Raw genomic sequence first — 17,717 nt, forward strand, 5'->3', positions numbered from 1 at the left:
AGGCTTTTTATGTATGTATTCTGCTATGAGAATTAATGCTAACAGTCTGATTTGTTAGTGACTGATTGTTGAGGGCCATGTTCTGAGTAAAGATTCTAACTTTTGAAAATAAATCTTACTAGTTGCCTATTAATTTCTATATTTAATGTAAACATAAAAGCTTTATTATTGAAAAGCACATCTTCCTTTTAAGGAAGCCGAAACCCTAAAATAAAATCTAAAAGTCATTGCTAATCCTGAGCATCTAATAGAGCTCCTTCATCTAAACATTTGGATCAGTTTTGTATATTCAAAGGTATTTCTGGAGCTGAGTTCATAAGGTGGGAGCTAAAGAGAGCCGGATATTATAGTGCGAAGTTGGAGTTAGGAATAGTCTGAGAAGGATGGATTGGGCAAAGGAGAAAAAAAAATGAGAGCTAAGAGAGAAGAGAGTCAGCAATATCACCAAGGCTGGATGCTCCATGGGTTCATGTATTTGGTGAAAACCCAGTTGCAGGCTAAACAAAAGGGCTCTGAAACAGGAAAATCCAATGTTCGACTTTCAGTTCTTGACCTTGTGCATATAAATCCCATGTTGATTTATAAGTCCATGTTGATTTAAATTTAATGATGGCTTATGTTTATATAAAAGTTTTCTATCAGTGACTTTTCTTATTGGCTTCCATCTTTTTGTAATTTCCCATTTATTTATTTTTTGTCGACAAATAATTATACATATTCATGGAGTGCTTAGTGATGTTTCAACACATATAATGTATAGGGATCAGATCCAGGTACTCAGCATATACATCATCTCAAAAATTGATCATTTCATTGATAAATATTTATCATTTTCTTTTCACCTAATCATATCCTATTTCTAGCTATTTGAAACTATATCATATATTATTATTACCTGTACTCACCAATTGTACATTGGTATAGAACACTAGAACTTATTCCTTCTATCTAGCTGTAATTTTGCATCTTTTAACAATCTTTCCCTATCCTTTCCTTCCCCCATTCTTCCCAGCCTCTAGTATCCTCTGTTCTATTTTTCACTCCCATGAGATCAACTTGTTTTAGTTTCCACATATGAGTGAGAACATGTGACATTTAACTTTTTGTTTCTGGATTATTTCACTTAACGTAATGTCCTCCAATTCTATGCATGTTGCCTTGAACCACAAAATTTATTTTTTATGACTGAATAGTATTCCATTGTGTATATATACCAAAAATTGAAAATGCATTTATCTGTTGTTGGACACCTAGGTAGATTCCATATCTTGGGTATTGTGAATAGCGCTGCAATAAACATGGGGGTACAACCGTCTCTTCAATATACTGATCTTCTCTCCTTTGGTTAAATGCCCAGTAGTAGGATTGCTGGATCTTATGGTAGTTCTACTTGCAGTTTTTTGAGGAAACTGTATACTGTTCTCATAGTGGCTGTACTACTTTACATTTCCGCCAACAGTGTATAAGAGTTCCCTTTTCTCTGCATACTTGCCAGCATTTTTTTTTGAGTATTAATTCTTATATTTGTTTGCCATTTGTATGTCTTCTTTTGAGAAATGCCTGTTCAGATCATTTGACCATTTTAAATTGGATTGTTTATTTTTATGCTGTTGAGATGTTAGATTTCCTTATATATTCTGGATGTTAATCCTGAGTCAGATGAGTAGTTTACAAATATTTTCTCCCATTCTGTAGGTTGTCTTTTTACTTTGTTGATTATTTCTTTATTTTTCAGAAGGTTTTTAGTTTGATATGCTCCCATATGTCGACTTTTGCTTTTGTTGCCGTGTTTTTGAGTTCTTATTCATAAAATCTTTTTCAAGATCAATGTCCAGACCTGTTCCCATGTTTTTTTCTAGTAGTGTTTAAAGTTTCAGGTCTTAGATTTAGGTCTTTAATCCCTTTTGGGTTGCTTTTTGTATATGGAGAGAGGTGGTCTAGTTTCATTCCTTTGCATATGGATATCCAGTTTTCCCAGCACCATTTATTAGAGGCTCTCCTTTCCTCAGTGAGTGTCCTTAGCACCTTTGTTGAAAATCAGTTGGCTATAAATACATAGATTAATTTCTGGGTTCTCTATTCTGTTCCATTGGACTAAGTGTCTATTTTTGTGCTAGTACCATGATGTTTTGGTTACTACAGCTTCATAGTATTTTGAGGTCTGGTAAGGTCATGGTTCCGACTGTGTTCTCTGCTCAGTAATTCTTTGGTTATTTAGGGTCTTTTGCAGTTCCATAGAAATTTTAGAATTTTTTTTTCTATTTCTGGGAAAAATGTTATTGGTATTTTGACAGGGATTGCATTAAATCTGTAGATTGCTTGGAGTAATATTGTCGTATTAACAACATTAATTATGCTGATCCATGAGCACGGAATTTTTTTCCATTTATTTGTATCCTCTTCAATTTTCTTTAATCGGTGTTTTGTAGTTTTCCTTGTAGAGGCGTTTCACCTCCTTGGTTAAATTTATTCATAAGTATTTTTTTGTAGTTATTGTAAATGAGATTGCCCTCTTGATTTCTTTTTCAGCTAGTTCATTGTTTGCATATAGAAATGCTTCTGGTTTTTGTATATTAATTTTGTATCCTGCATCTTTATTGAACTTGTTTATGGAGTTCTAAGTGTTTTTTTTTTTTTGTAGAGTCTTTAGGTTTTTTTTATATGTAAGATTATGTCATCTGCTGTTGGCTTACATTTTAACTAATGACCATAGCTGAGTGGCATGTTTGTGTTGATACAGAGAAGAAAAGGCACAACATGCAGAAGACATCCTAACTCTTCTTAATGTAATTCTGTAGAAACATGTAGACTCAGAGGTGAGCATGAGAAACAGTTCTCATGCTCCCTGGAAATTTGCAGAAATCTTTGATGGTGCACTGTTCTTTCCTCAAGGCATCGATAGGGAAAGGGCTTGCCTCATTCTAAAAAGTTGGGTAACTGCAGCCGACACTGTTTCATAAATATTTAAAATTATAAGGAATAATGACATAAGCAGGTTTAGGAAAATTGAATTCTATTCTCTGCAGTAGCCACAATCTTCCAAAACAAATACCTAGCCATCACATTCTAGCATTTTTCGTATTAGAAATATGCATTCCTCAACTGTTTGGTAAGTGACTATTATGATCTGCTTTATACCAGAAACTGTGTTAGGTTCTGGAAATGCGAACATGAATAAAATTGTCACTACCCTTAATAACTTCATAGTTCTGTTTCTCTTTCAGAGAAAAACATATACATAATTACAATGCGGTATGATATAATAAGAATAGAGTTATACAAAAACTGTGGTAGGTATCCAAGACAAATAGAAAGTAATTATTACTGTGACCACTGGCAAATCTTTAGAGTAAAGGCAGAATTCATTGGGAACTTCAGGTTCAAAATGTGGGGGACTGCAGCCTGACCAACATGGAGAAGCCCGTCTCTACTAAAAATACAAAATTAGCCAGGCGTGGTGGGCATGCCAGTAACCTCAGCTACTCTGGCGGAGGCAAGAGAATCGCTTGAACCCGGGAGGCAGAGGTTGCGGTGAGCCGAGATCGCGCCATCGCACTCCAGGCTGGGCAACAAGAGCGAAATTCCGTCTCAAAAAAAAAAAAAAAAAAAAAAAAAAAAAAAAAAAGTTGGGGGGAACTGATATCTACTTTTAATTCTCATCTGTTCTCAAGTCTCATTGAAGTGACCTAAGAAATCCATAGCAATCCTGAAGAGCTGGGAAGGATGCCGTCAGAAGATCAGGGACTCTGGAAATATTAGAAAGGGAAAACTGATCAGTTTGGATTGATGCTGAGGGGAGCTGTAGTAATTGAGAGACACTGCTGAAAACATCCAGTGCTGCTTTTCCTAAAGGAACACTGAAAGACGGAGAGATGAGAGCATGCAGAGCCTGATGTTTAAGCACAGGAAAATTGGCAGGTAAATCACTGAACGATTTCTAGGTCAGCAGTCACCCTTTACAGAGTGCCTACATGAAGTTTTTGCCTCCAGATTATAGCTAGCAATATAGATTTCTAAGTAAAATGGAGTCTACCACAGTGGACTCCCAGTATGGGCATCAGGCCTGAAAAAATAAGCAGGACTGGTAACTCCTGTCTTCTACAATTTATGTCATGAAAATGTCATGGGCATGGAAGGAAGGTCATCGGTCCCTATGCTGCATTTTCCTTCCCACCTTCAGCTTATGCAATTTTGAGTTATATTTACTGACAGACGAAAAGTGATTTTTCGCAAGTGTTGAGGAAACATAAGCTCCCTATATGAATTAATTCTAGATGCTAATGAGTAACTCTGAGGAAATAACAAAAAATCACTTCAAACAAAAGGAGGTCATAATGTAAACACATAACTAATCTCTGAAGAAACAATGCATAAAATGCAACTTTAAAATAAGTCTACTTAATATTCTTAGAGTGTTTTATGGGGATATCATATCCAAACGTAAAGTTATAAACATAAAGCATAGTCTGTTGATGGAGGGAGGAGAATAAAGAATAAAAAAATTGGAAAAAGTAAAAATCATTATTATTTATAGAGGGCAGTAGAAAATTTGAATAGCAAAAGGGATATGGCTGATAGCTAAACTATTAATCTAGAAGTGAATATATTAAGAACAAATGCAATAATACAGCATTATTATTATATGAGAAAAGAGACAAGACAGATGTAAAACATCTGATGCCAATTTAACAGACAATCTAGAAGACGATATGTAAGGAAGAAAAAAATAATATAGTAAAAGAAAAAATTCAGATCTTCCTTCAGACACAAAGAACTTTTCCAATATTTTAAGATAACATTGTGGAAGAGGAAAATAAAAAATATAGATTTAATAAATATTGGTAAAATTTGTGAATTCCAAACTAAAGAAAATCTAAAAGACAGAAGAGGGTCCTTACAAATGAATTATTAGTTCTTAAACTGATTGCTAAGGATTATGGCAAAATGTCTATAATTTAATAATAGGATTTTGATCCTAGAATTCTATACCAAAATATAACTAAAAATAAAATCAGTATGCTACATGAGCACTTACGGGAAAAAAAATTCAAGATAAGGATGCAGTAAAACAAAACAAAAAATGAATTCAAGAGTTAGACCTTGGGGATAAAAAGCAGTGGTGAGAGAAGGAGCCAGTAAAACTTCTAATTAAATTTTGAGTTGCTAATAATTTGGCTATGAAATTTTAAATGATTGTTAAGATGAAACTCCTGACATATGTGAGACAAAGTAGACAGTAAAATTACTGTCAACAGGGAGCTAGAATTCTACATAATATTAACAAAATGTGAGAGAATGGGCAGGGAAAATGACTATGTTGAGTTCGTGGGGTTTGTTGTATTTTGAAACAGGGTTTCACTCTGTCATCCAGGCTGGAGAGCAGTGGTGCAGTCACAGCTCACTGCAGCCTCAACATCATGGGCTCAAGTGATCCTCCCATCTCAGTCTCCCAAGTAGCTAGGACCACAGGCATGTGCCAAGATGCCAGGTTAATTTTTTAATTTTTGGAGAGACATGGTCTCTCTATGTGGCCCAGACTGGTCCCAAACTTCAGACTCAAGTGATCCTTTTGCCTTGGCCTCCCAAAGTGCTGGGATTACAGGCATGAGCCACTGTGCTTGGCTGAGTCCCTGCATTATACAATGGCTAGAGGCTGTGCATATAATTGTTTTTGCAATTAAGAGGAAACATTTTAAACATACTTTTATAAACTTAAGAAAAACTATCAATATAAAAAAAAAGAGAGTACTTCCCTATCATTCAAATAAACAAAAAATGTAAAGAAACAACTTGATCAAAATAGGAAATTTGGCAGGAAAAAGGGCAGCCTTACCTTGATGCCAAAATAAGGCAGAAAAAGCTCAGAGTAATGCCATTTATGAATGCAGAGATAAAATTTGAAATATTAAAAATTAATATTAGGAATAAGTCAAAGTTAATGAGTTATAGTGTTCTTACCACTGTAGGCTGACTATAGTTAACAATAATATATATAGGTTCAAAGAGGAGGATATTGAATGTTCCTAACACAAAGAAATAATAAATGTTTGAGATAATAGATATGCTAATTACCCCGATCTGATCATTGTACAGTCTATATATCAAACTATAACTTAGTACCTTATGAATATGTATAATTATTTGTCAATTAGAAAAATAAAATTTAAAAATGTTAACAACAAAAACTAATATTACAATATAATCACGATTTTTATTTCAGAAATGTAAAGTCAATTCAACAGTAGGAAATATATTAATGTAAATTCCTACATTAATATATTGAAAGACGATAAAATCAGTTATGCTACTTTTCTGAATCACAAAGACATTTATGTTTATAATTCTGCAAAGAAACCAGGAGACAATTGCTTTAAAAATTATATCTATCCCAATAGCATCAAAACTATAGCTATAAAGTTAAGAAACACTTCAGATTTCTATAAACAAAATCGTAAAGCTATAAGAAAATAGAGTAGGAAAGATTTAAATTGTCTAAATTAATTGCTCGTTAATAGAAATATTCAGTATTGTAAAGATATTATTTATCTCAAATTATTATATAATCTCAATGCAATTTCTGTCGAAATTACATAAGACCTTTTTTCTTGAACTTTAAATTTTTATCCTAAAGGTTTCTTTTTTCAAAATGAAAATATTATTATACCCAAGAAAAAATCAGATTCATCCACTTATTCAATATTATGTATAGTAGCAAAAAAGTCCTAAAGATTGATTACTCAATTATGAAACATTGTGGAAAAAGAATAATCAGTTATTGAGACATATTATGATCCTATACAATAAGGAAAATGGGAACAATTTTAGTGATATATGTAAAAACAAAATGTCTGTACTCTATAAGGGCAAACATAAAAATAAGAATACATGAGGACAAAGAAAGTCAAATGCCATGAAAAAATAGTGTGTTAGAATTGAACATAATAACACTTCTTGGTCTTAAAATATCTAACATAGTTGATGTGTCATCTTTCAATACAACAAATATGAAAAATACAGCAAGTGGGATCGTAAATAATTTGTATACTCAGAAAACATCAATCAAGAGCTTATTTTTCTTTCAAAGTAATTAGTTTGGAATGCCTTCTTTTTTATTTAAAAGAAAGTGATAGAGAATTATCGCCTGTAATCCCAGCACTTTGGGAGGCTGAGGCGGATGGGTCACGAGGTCAGGAGATGGAGACCATCCTGGCTAACACGGTGAAACCCCATCTCTACTAAAAATACAAAAAATTAGCCAGGCGTAGTGGTGGGCGCCTATGTCTTGTCTTCTGTCTGGTCCCAACACCTTCAATGCCAACAACATCTTCTTCTGTAACATAGCTAATCTCTCGATATTTTCCTACCTTCCTTGATAGACAATTTACTTTAACTGTGCCCAAATCAAATATGCTCTCTTAATGTAGATCAGCTACTAATGGGGCCACCTGGAATGCTGTAAGTTCTACACATAACATAGTTTTAAATTACATTTACTGTTTTAGAATAGCTTTTGCCTCACACTGAACTTGCTGTTCATAAAAACCTTTTTCAAATGAATTACTTAAGTTATACTTCATCTGTTCGGCATTTGAGAAATCATTTTTAAGGCTCAAGGGTAGGCCTAAAATATGTCTCTAATTTAATCTTATTAGTTTTTAGTCTGTCGAAATAATTTTAAATATTGATTGCCACTCTACATGTTACCTGGTTAATTCAATTTTTAGTTATTTGTAAATTTAATTAGTATGTCATTTATATCTTCTCTCAAGTTAATAATCAAAATATCAAATTGGTCAGGATCTCATCGCCATATCACTAGAGAAAACCAGGCTGGCATGATAGTGATGGCTGTCTAGCTAGCTACAGCCTAGCTAACTGTATTCTTGTCCCCTCCTACTTTATTACTACAGTCTCAAGAATATCATGAAAGACTTTGTTATATCTCTTCCTAGAGGAAAAATACTTCATCAATAGGAAGACTTTCAGATTGCTGTTTGCCTTTTCAAAACCAGCATAATTGTCCTTTTTGAATAGTCTTATATGGAGTCAAAATTTATAAAGCATAGCATGGTGGAGCTGCTGTGTTTGAAATGAGAGTGGAAAGACAGGAAACCTACTCTCATCACCCCTGTTTCTCTGAAGCCCTTCCTACATCATGGCTGCCCACAAGCCTCAGGGATGCAAGAAAAACATTTAATGACACTGATTTGTAGTGACCCATCATATTTATTGGTAGAGTCAGCTCCACTTTCAAGGAAATGAGACCAGCTAGGGAGGGAGTAAACTAGGTGAACACATGCTCATGCTTGAATGCCCACTGTTCTATTTGAAGTACTCCTTAAAATCTGTTTAATACTTTTATTAGGTAATATAATGTGTAATAGCAATACTTTCAAGCTTACTGACATATGTGTGTGTGACATATATATTCTCCTTTTATAATAGATGAATTATAATTAGTACAAAGGCCAAATCCTGGTGTCTGCTATGTCTTCTTACAATTTTCAGTTAAAATATTTTGAAAGATCAAGAGACAAAAATTGCAATGACATGGGAAACTAAAAATAAGAATAGACCATATGCTACTCTATGAAGGGAATTTCCAATGACTTTGTATGCACATTCAGTTGTAGACACATTCCACTCACTGTACCAGAATTGTGCGGACAGCTGCATCTCCTATATCTGCTCTTTTGTGACTTAAGGATTACGTTGACCAGAAAATCTGGCAGCCGCTCTCATCCTGATCCACAAGAACTTCCATGGAAGATAATTTACTCAGTATCCTAACTCTAAAACATACAAAAAGGACAATTCTACTAAATGTCTTCTTAAAAAAGTGAACATCTACTTGTAAAATCATATATTTTGATAATGGAAGAACAAATTGGAATTATGGACAATGGCAGGCTATAGGCATCTGCAAATACACAATTTGTGATGATACATAGAAGCCCAGTATATACATACTAGGTGTATGTTGTTGTTTTCCCCTTTTTCATGTAAAACCAGACAAAAGATATTGTAATATAGCTGCAATTGATTTGGGTGATAGATTTTTTATTAAAACAAGTTTTTAAAGACATATGCTTTTGAATTTTACTTATTTATTACCATATTTTGGATCTTATTTTCCATCTTTGTATGGTGAAACTATTTTTATGCGTTTACTCCTTTGGCATTACACAAAAATTGGAAATTGCATTAATGTGGAATATTCAAATTTCATTCAGAAGTTACAATTTCCAATTTATAACATGATCAAAAGTAGAGAAAGGGACAAGTATTGCATTATATCCTGTGTTATGCAATTATCTCAGGAAAAGTCTTGTATGCCGGTGCTGGCTGAGCAAATAAGAATCACTTAAGCAGTACACAATAGATGTAATTTTTTAAGTACTTTCCTTGTACAAAAAGAACTACAGTACAGTCTGACTCTTTATTGTAGTTAAACAGGCTAACTAGTGCACTAGTCTCCTTAGTACACTGAAACAAATGACATGACTCTATCTAACCATCTGCCTACTTATCCATCCATCCACAACAGCGGCTGCATACATTACCCCATACTGAACATATTTCCTCAGACGGCTCTAGAAACAAAAGGATTAATTCATCAGTACATGTAGACTAAGTATCCGGATAAGAATAACTCATATACTCTTTTGTAAAATAAAGCATCAGAATAAAGGAATTAAGGATGAGTATACGAGGTAGTATTAAACAGGATGACTTAGGGTTTATGGAAAGATTTTTCAACATAAAGGCAAAGAAGAACTATCCTGAACAATCAGAGAGCAATATGTTTCTGAAAATAATTTTCTGTGAGAATAAGAGTGAAATGTTTAAGAATATTTGTCTTGGCCTGGCGCGGTGGCTCACGCCTGTAATCCCAGCACTTTGGGAGGCCGAGGCGGGCGGATCACGAGGTCAGGAGATGGAGACCATCCCGGCTGGCATGCTGGAACCCCATCTCTACTAAAAATACAAAAAAAAATTAGCCGGGCGTGGTGGCAGGTGCCTGTAGTCCCAGCTACTCAGGAGGCTGAGGCAGGAGATTGGCGTGAACCCAGGAGGCGGAGCTTGCAGTGAGCCGAGATCGCTCCACGGCACTCCAGCCTGGGCGACAGAGCAAGACTCCGTCTCAAAAAAAAAAAAAAAAAAAGAGAGAATATTTATCTTACTTTCTTAAGAAAAGTCCAATAACACAGCCAATGTGAGGTAGAAACAGGGACTGATACTGGTATCTCTGGCCACAAACAATAATTCTGCTGTGGGTTCACTTAAGCGATTTTCTCATATACATTGTTTTCTCATATACCTAGAAGTATGGAAGCAGAGTGGATTGTCATGTAGGCTCATTACAAAGGTCAACTTGTCATCACGGCTTCTGTGTTTTTCCAACCTCATTGTGTTGGTTCTCTGTTTTCAGGCCTTCATGATCATGTGGTAAATCACCCTCATATTCATTGCAGCATTATTCATAATAGCCAAGAGACTTAAAGTTTTCACTGACAGATGAACAAATGAAGAAAATTGGTATCCAAATACAATGGAATATTATGCAGCCATAAAATGGAGAAAATTGCGCAATTTGAGGCAACATGGATGAGGACATTAAGCTAAGTGAAATAAGCCAGACATGGAAATAAAAATACCGGGTGATCTCAATTATACATAGAATCCAAAAATGTTGAATTCATAGCAGAGAGTAGAACAATGGTTGCTAGGGATTGGAGAGTGAGAAGGGATTGGGGGAAGTAGGTGAAAGGGTACAAACCTTAAGTTATGAGTTGATTAAGTTATGGGATCTAATTACAGCATGGCAACTATTATTAATAATACTCATTGTTTACTTGAAATTTGATAAAAGTAGATTTTAAGCCTCCTGGTAACTATGATTGGTGTTGGATATGTTAATTTGATTGTGGTAGTAATTACACTATATATAGTGTAATTATTATATACATAAACATTATATAGATACACATTTGATATTATCATTTGATATATAAATGTATATACAAGTGTATATACATTTGATACATATAAATGTATGTACATTTATATGTACACACATTTGTATATATACACACATTTGTATATATACACACATTTTATATATATATACACACGCACATCAAATCATCAGGTTGTACACCTTGAAAAACACATTTTTTACTTGCCAATTAAATTTTTTTAACAAAAAAAGGAAACAGCAAGTGTTGCTTATTTGCAAAAAATAAAAATAAAATAAAAGCAGAAGAAAGGGAAAGAAAAGAAAAAGAAAGTAGAAAAATATTTCCATTTCTATAAGGTAAAATTAACTTGAGCCTGCAGATTGAAAGTGGCCCCATATATTCCAGGAAAAATGAAATGAATAGTAAGACACTCACAAATTCTGTATATATTTAGTTAGGAGCAATGACATACAAATAACCTAAAAAGGAGCAAAGTTACACTGGCCTCAGACTTGAATTGTACAACACTAAATTGTGAACAACAATGCCTATAGAAATTTTAGGAGAAAAAATTGCGACCTGAGAATTCTATGTGCAGCATTATTACCAATCTAGTTTGAAAGCAAGACAACAACTATGTGTTTATGGCTTTTGAAAATATACTATTCATTTTTGTTTTCTGTAACTAAAAATATACTTAACTTAATTACTCAATATAGAGAAAAGTCTGGTATTTTTTTTTTTTCGAGGTAAAATGGTAAGGACTCAAGATTCACATACTTATCTAAGATGTCATTCTGATGTAATGACAACAGAAGGATTTTCTTAGGTTTGAAAAGCTCTATTAAACTTGAGACTTACATATTCTTGTAGAAAAAGACATTCTTTGGTCACTTTAAGAACCTAAGAATAGTAATCTGGTAATATAAAAGGACTGATTATCTTTTTATACTTAAAGCTACATAATTGGATGAAATACAAACAACTGTAGTTGTATCCTTATTCAGTTGAATGCAAAGCTACAAAATTAAATGTTGATATCAGAAAAAAATATTCAAATCAAAAAGCATTACTGGACACTGGATGGTTATTTTACATTGATAACTCTTTCTATTAATACCTTAAAACAGAATAAAAATGTTAAGCATTATATAGAGATGTTTACCAATAAAATGACCACTGACTCATACAAAACTCTTCTACCTTACTGAGATACAAACAAATACAAATCAAAATAACAATATATCATTTTCACCCTTAAATTGCAAAATCTTAAGTAATTTTGAGATTCCATTCATTTGAAGATCCCTTGGGACGGTATTGTTGTACATGTACGTTGAATGAAACTCTGAAAAACAGTTGAATAATGTACATAGAGTCATTCTATCTCAAATCATTATGAAGGAATGAATGCTAAGGCATCATCTAAAAAATAATAAATATTTCTGTGTAATGATGTTCATCACAGTTTATAACGGTGCAAAACTGGAGACAAATATCACTGGAAGAGAAGGGTTAAAGAAATTACTTAACATATACAAAAGGCGATGTTATGTAGTTATTAAATAGATGTTTTTGAATAGTTATCATTGCATCGAACAATGCTATGGTTTAAGACAAAGTTGATTAATCCTGATGAATAATTTTATAATCATACTATCACTATGTAAAAGTACATATAAAATGTCAGGAAGAAAATATGCTGTGGTGACCACAGTTGACACTGAAAGATAAAAGTAAAAGTAGTTTCTTTCCTTCTTCTTAATACCTTTCTACATGCTCTAATTGCCTACTTCTGATGTGAATTATCTTAATGAATATAAGATATAAATAATTAAAATGAAAGAAAAAGTTACTTTTTTTCCATTTCCAATTTCTTCCATTTTTAGGCATCCTCAAAGATTGTGGTGGTTTTGTCATTGAACCTCTAGTTCTTTTGCTCCCCTGAGATGTAATTTTTCTGAGACTGGAGGATTACAAAGGCTTTATATTTTCACAGCATCTCCTAACCTGTCTTGTTTTCACTTTCCTCCTAACGACGTTTGCTATCCTTTTGCCATTTTGGGGATCATTCTCCTGGTTGGAGAAGGTGGAAGCTAAATAGGCATCGATTGGTTTTGTTTCCTTTTTGTCATCTGTTACTATTGTACCATGTGTCAACCATAGCCTGCCTTCCCTCATCTTCTTCTGACTCTGAATTTAGCAAAAAGGAAAAAGGTCCACTATTTTGTCTCGAGAAAGTTTTGCAAACTTGAACTCACTTTGAATATTCAACCTCCTTCTTAGAGATTCAAACCAATCTTCTAATTTAATCCTTAGTTTTATGTTCCTAATTCCTCCCTGAATCCCTTTCCAGTGTTCATTTAAAATCTGAGCTCATCAAAGAGTGTCCTTTGCAACTACAATGAGTTTTTTTTTAATCTGTGGCCCTTTAAACCAAATCAGTCCATTTACCAATCATTCACCATTGGTTTATAATTTTGGGCCATATTTACCAACTGTTTTCTCTCTTTGGTCATTTCCTTTTATGCTAACTGCTTTGTATCTTATGTTACTTTCCTAAACTCTGGGTGCTTGTACATGGTTCACATACATACCTTCACAGGCCTAGCTGGTAAAAGGTGGAGAACTGGAAAGCCCAAAGCACACCTACAGGGAAGGCAGTCATTACTTAGCTACCTCTGGCTGATTGCCATGCAGGACTGATGGTCCACTGTGGTAAAATCCTCTGATTTTAAAAAAGATGCTGAAAATCTGAGTGTGTGTGTGTGTGTGTGTGTGTGTGCGTGACTGCGTGTTTGCAGGGAAGAGAGAAAGAGAACGAAAGGAAAAGAAGGAGAAAGGAAAGGAGGAAGGAAAGAAGGAGGAAAAAAGGAAACAAGGAAAGAAAAAGAAAAGAGAGATCATTATAATTTGAATATAAGTAGTTAATACATTTATTTATTTATTCAGGTCAACTATCCACAGAAATTACAAAAACAAAACTTTGTGTGCTAAATTTGGTTTGAGACCTCTAGGTTTTAACCTTTTATACCTACTATGAATTTATTTTCCTACTCTATCCCCTCTTAGTCCTGGCATTTGGATTTCAACTTTCTTAAAGTATCTTCCATAACATCTTGGTGTCACCAACTCACAAGGCTCATCTGTGTGTGTGTGTGTGTGTGTGAAGGAAATAGATATTGATATTTGGCTTGTTTCCCAACAGCATCTTCTGGCCTGATATCTTTATGATCACAAAGCAAGAACTTACTTTTATTGAGTATCCACATATACATGGTCCTCAGTCACACAACATGGCTCAGGACATAAAACAGGTTATGGAAACACGAACTCTCAGGTGCTAGGTTGTCATGGACCCTTCATCTTCCCTCCCACCCTTGCTGCCCCGGCCACTTCTGTTCTAATGTCTACTCATTTCTTTATCATTTATCTTGACTCTAACCTTGCACCTGAATCTTGTTAACTGAATTTGGTCCCCTCATTTTGACCTTTGGTCTTTTCTAGGGACATGACTTTAAATCACCTCTGGGTGCTCACTTTTCTTGATTACTGCAGGTTACTACACCAATCCTGATTCTAGTACTGGATGACGGGGATGGTTTCGTAAGTGAATATACTCTAACATCCAGTGAAAGGAGATCCCGCCCAAAATCTTCAGTAATCAATTCTGTGTATATTAGAGAATGTACCTTTTCTACAATTTTTTCCAAAACAACTTTTCTGAAATCCAAGGTACAAATCAGTTGATATTATTATTAGGTTACATATATTTTTGCTATCCGCTGTCCAAAATGCTTTACAAGTAGTAATTCATTCAATTCCAAGAACAACCCAATGAACTAGTTATGATTATTTTCAGAAACAGAAACTGAAGCACTGAATGAGTAAGTAACAGGCATTCAGCTAGCATCAGAGGTAGAATTTGAACCCGGGAAGTTGGACTTCAGAGGCATACCCTTAACAACCACACGATATTATCTATCTCTCCCTACTTGTTATAAACTCAAAGATGACATCATTCTTTTCTCCCCAGGTTCCCATCATTTCTACCGCTTTCATCAGTTCTTGTGCAGCAGAATGAGGTCCCAGCAGGGTTTTCTCTCATTGCTGCCTCCACCCTCTGCCTTGTGAGTAATGAAACTATCAGTTCAGCAGGGCTTGTTAAGAACTTTCTGATGCTCCACCTTTAGCAGAATCAGCCTTCCAATAGCTATATTGATAGTTGAAGCTGCTTCTACTTGCTTCAGCACCAGTTTTCTGCTTTATTGATTATTTACTTTTTATCCCATAGCTCTGAAGTGTCCTTCTAAAACTGCATAGATAAATATATACTTTTATTTTTAACGAAATCCTACTCTTCCACTCTATACATTGTCATTTAAGTCCACGTTAAACTGTGTTTATGTACAATGCTACTTCCGCTCTTCTTTATTTCGGAGTCTCTCTGACTGACCTTATTCACTCACTTAAGGTTTAAGTGGAAACTTATATTTGTGTGGTTTCAAAATCCTTATTTCTGAGTCCACATGGAGTCCCAAGCTGCACATAAACAAGTGGAAGTAACTCCTGGCCGTATCTTCCCGCAGGCACCTCAAATGCAACACTTCCACCACTGAACTCATAATCTCTCCTCCATAACTGCTCCTTTTTTCCAACTATCTGGTTGTCTCATCTAAAAATATTGGCTCCGTTTCCCTGCCCATCTTCATGAGAAACACATGAAAAGAGTAGTTGGTGATCATCACACCCATTTTCACTTCTCACACACTGTTCTTTGCTCAGTGAGAGTTGGACAATCACCTAACTATAACAGTGAGTGTCATCAATACCTTCCATGTTGCCAAATCCATCAGTCACTTTTCTGTCCTTATCTATTTTATCTCTTAGGCACCTTTGATGTAGTTATTCACTTTTTTCCTTCTTGGTTGTTATGATGCCACACTCTTTTGAATTTCTTATTCTCATATTGGTTGCTCTTTTCAGGTTTCTTAGCTGACTTTTCCTTGGATTGGCCTCTAAATGTTTAAAGTTTCCCCAGCCGAGTCCTTCAGTTTTTTTGTTGCTGTTGTTGGTGTTTGTTCGTTTGTTAATTGCTGCCACAAAAATACTACCACAAATTTAGTGGCTTAAGACAGCATAAATTTATTGTCTTACTGTTCTGCAGGTCAGAAGTCTGACCCAGACCTCCCTGGACTAAACTCAAGATGTCATCAGAGGTATGTCCCTTTCTGAAGGGTCTAGAAGAGAACAATTTTCTTGTATTTTCCAGCTGTGTATTCAGAGTTAGCAACCAAATATCTATGTATTTAACTTTAAGGATCTTACTTAGGTAAACAACTAAATAGTTACACTCTATCAGAGTGGTTAACAGAAATATAACTAAAATGGTGACTTTGTCTGTACTTCAGGTTTTATAAATCTATAATTGTTCAAAATAAATTAGGTAAATATAAATAGAATAATTATATTTATAAATAAACTTTTTATGTAACTTAAAACCTTAAAATTATGTTATGCTGAATTAAATGATAAATACTAATTAGATATCTGAGACATTTTCAAATAAGACAAAATACTAAAACATAAATTACCAAACATAACTATAAGTTTGTTCTTGGCTTCTTAAATTTTACAGAAAGACTAAATATATTTGGTTTTATTAATACATGTAAAATTTATGTTATGGGAAAAACATATTCCTAAAATTATAAAATAGCCCTCACATAGAAACCACTGATATGTGACAGACAATTCAAAATTTCTTGCTTCCTAAGTTTTAACTGAAAATTGCTATATTAAAATTAATATAGAATTCTGTATACAAAATGTACCAAAAAATGTGGTTTTGACTTAAAAAACTATTTAAAAAGATATAAAAGTATGTTCTTTATTTTTTAAAAGGAATAATTTTGTCTAATTCAGAGGTTATTTGAAGGTTGTTTTTAAAATATGGGTTTACAAAACAAAAACAAGATTTAAGAGATCACTAAGTAAGAGGAAAAGATACAAAAATGTTACATGTATGAAAATATATTTTGGGTATCAAAAAAGTTGTAGAAAGAAAATCATTTTAAATAAACAATAATAATATATGATAGATTTTTGTCCTAATGTAAAACGACTGGTCAATTTTTTTTAAAGTATAGGAAAAAGCAGAAAATATAAACATGTCATGAAAAGTCTGAGTAAGTCACAAAAGGTTTGGAAAGGACAAATTTATAGAGGAAATTTTGTACATGATCAAGTTGCCTACAATTAAAAGTAAATTATTTTTGTCTTTCTAAATACTGAGCTTTGATATTAAAAATACACTAATACAAAAGTATAAATTTGGTCTCCTATATTAGAATAGCAAGGTTTTCCTAAAATGTTAATCTACTCAGTAAAACTTGCAAGAGGTTTTGATTTAATTCTAAAGTCTGTTTTTTAAAAAATAAACTTTTCAACCATCTCCTAAACTGTGGATTTACTGTTACCAGCAATGTTTTTCTTGATTCTATACTCTTGGCTTCTCTTGATGTGTCTAAATTTTTCTATGTAAGCAGGAAATTTCCCATGCTTTTACTAAAAGCCATGTATTTCCCTACTTAAGGTACTACTTTTCTTGTTTGCATTCTTCTATAATATGAGATACACTAATGACCTTTGGACACACAACTTTCCTATGTCTGATTAAATTCAAGTACCTTTTCATCAAGTTTGACTTCCAGATTGCCTAAATGAATTTCTCATAAAGAGAAGCATCACACTACA

General features: G+C 33.8%; 1 long non-coding RNA gene across 2 annotated transcripts in view; it reads left to right on the top strand.

The window, feature by feature from the left end:
- The window catches only part of LOC105374234 (uncharacterized), a 50,070-nt gene that overhangs the window by 18,148 nt on the left and 14,205 nt on the right, over positions 1-17,717 (top strand). The window contains exons 1-2 of one of the 2 annotated variants that reach the window (XR_001741025.1): positions 15,005-15,091; positions 16,129-16,180. This is a non-coding gene — a long non-coding RNA (uncharacterized LOC105374234). Of the gene's footprint in view, positions 1-15,004; positions 15,092-16,128; positions 16,181-17,717 lie in introns of those variants that run through there. The other variant, XR_001741026.1, reaches the window with a different exon arrangement.

Source organism: Homo sapiens, chromosome 3 (assembly GCF_000001405.40).
Source record: "Homo sapiens chromosome 3, GRCh38.p14 Primary Assembly".
NCBI lineage: Eukaryota > Metazoa > Chordata > Mammalia > Primates > Hominidae > Homo > Homo sapiens.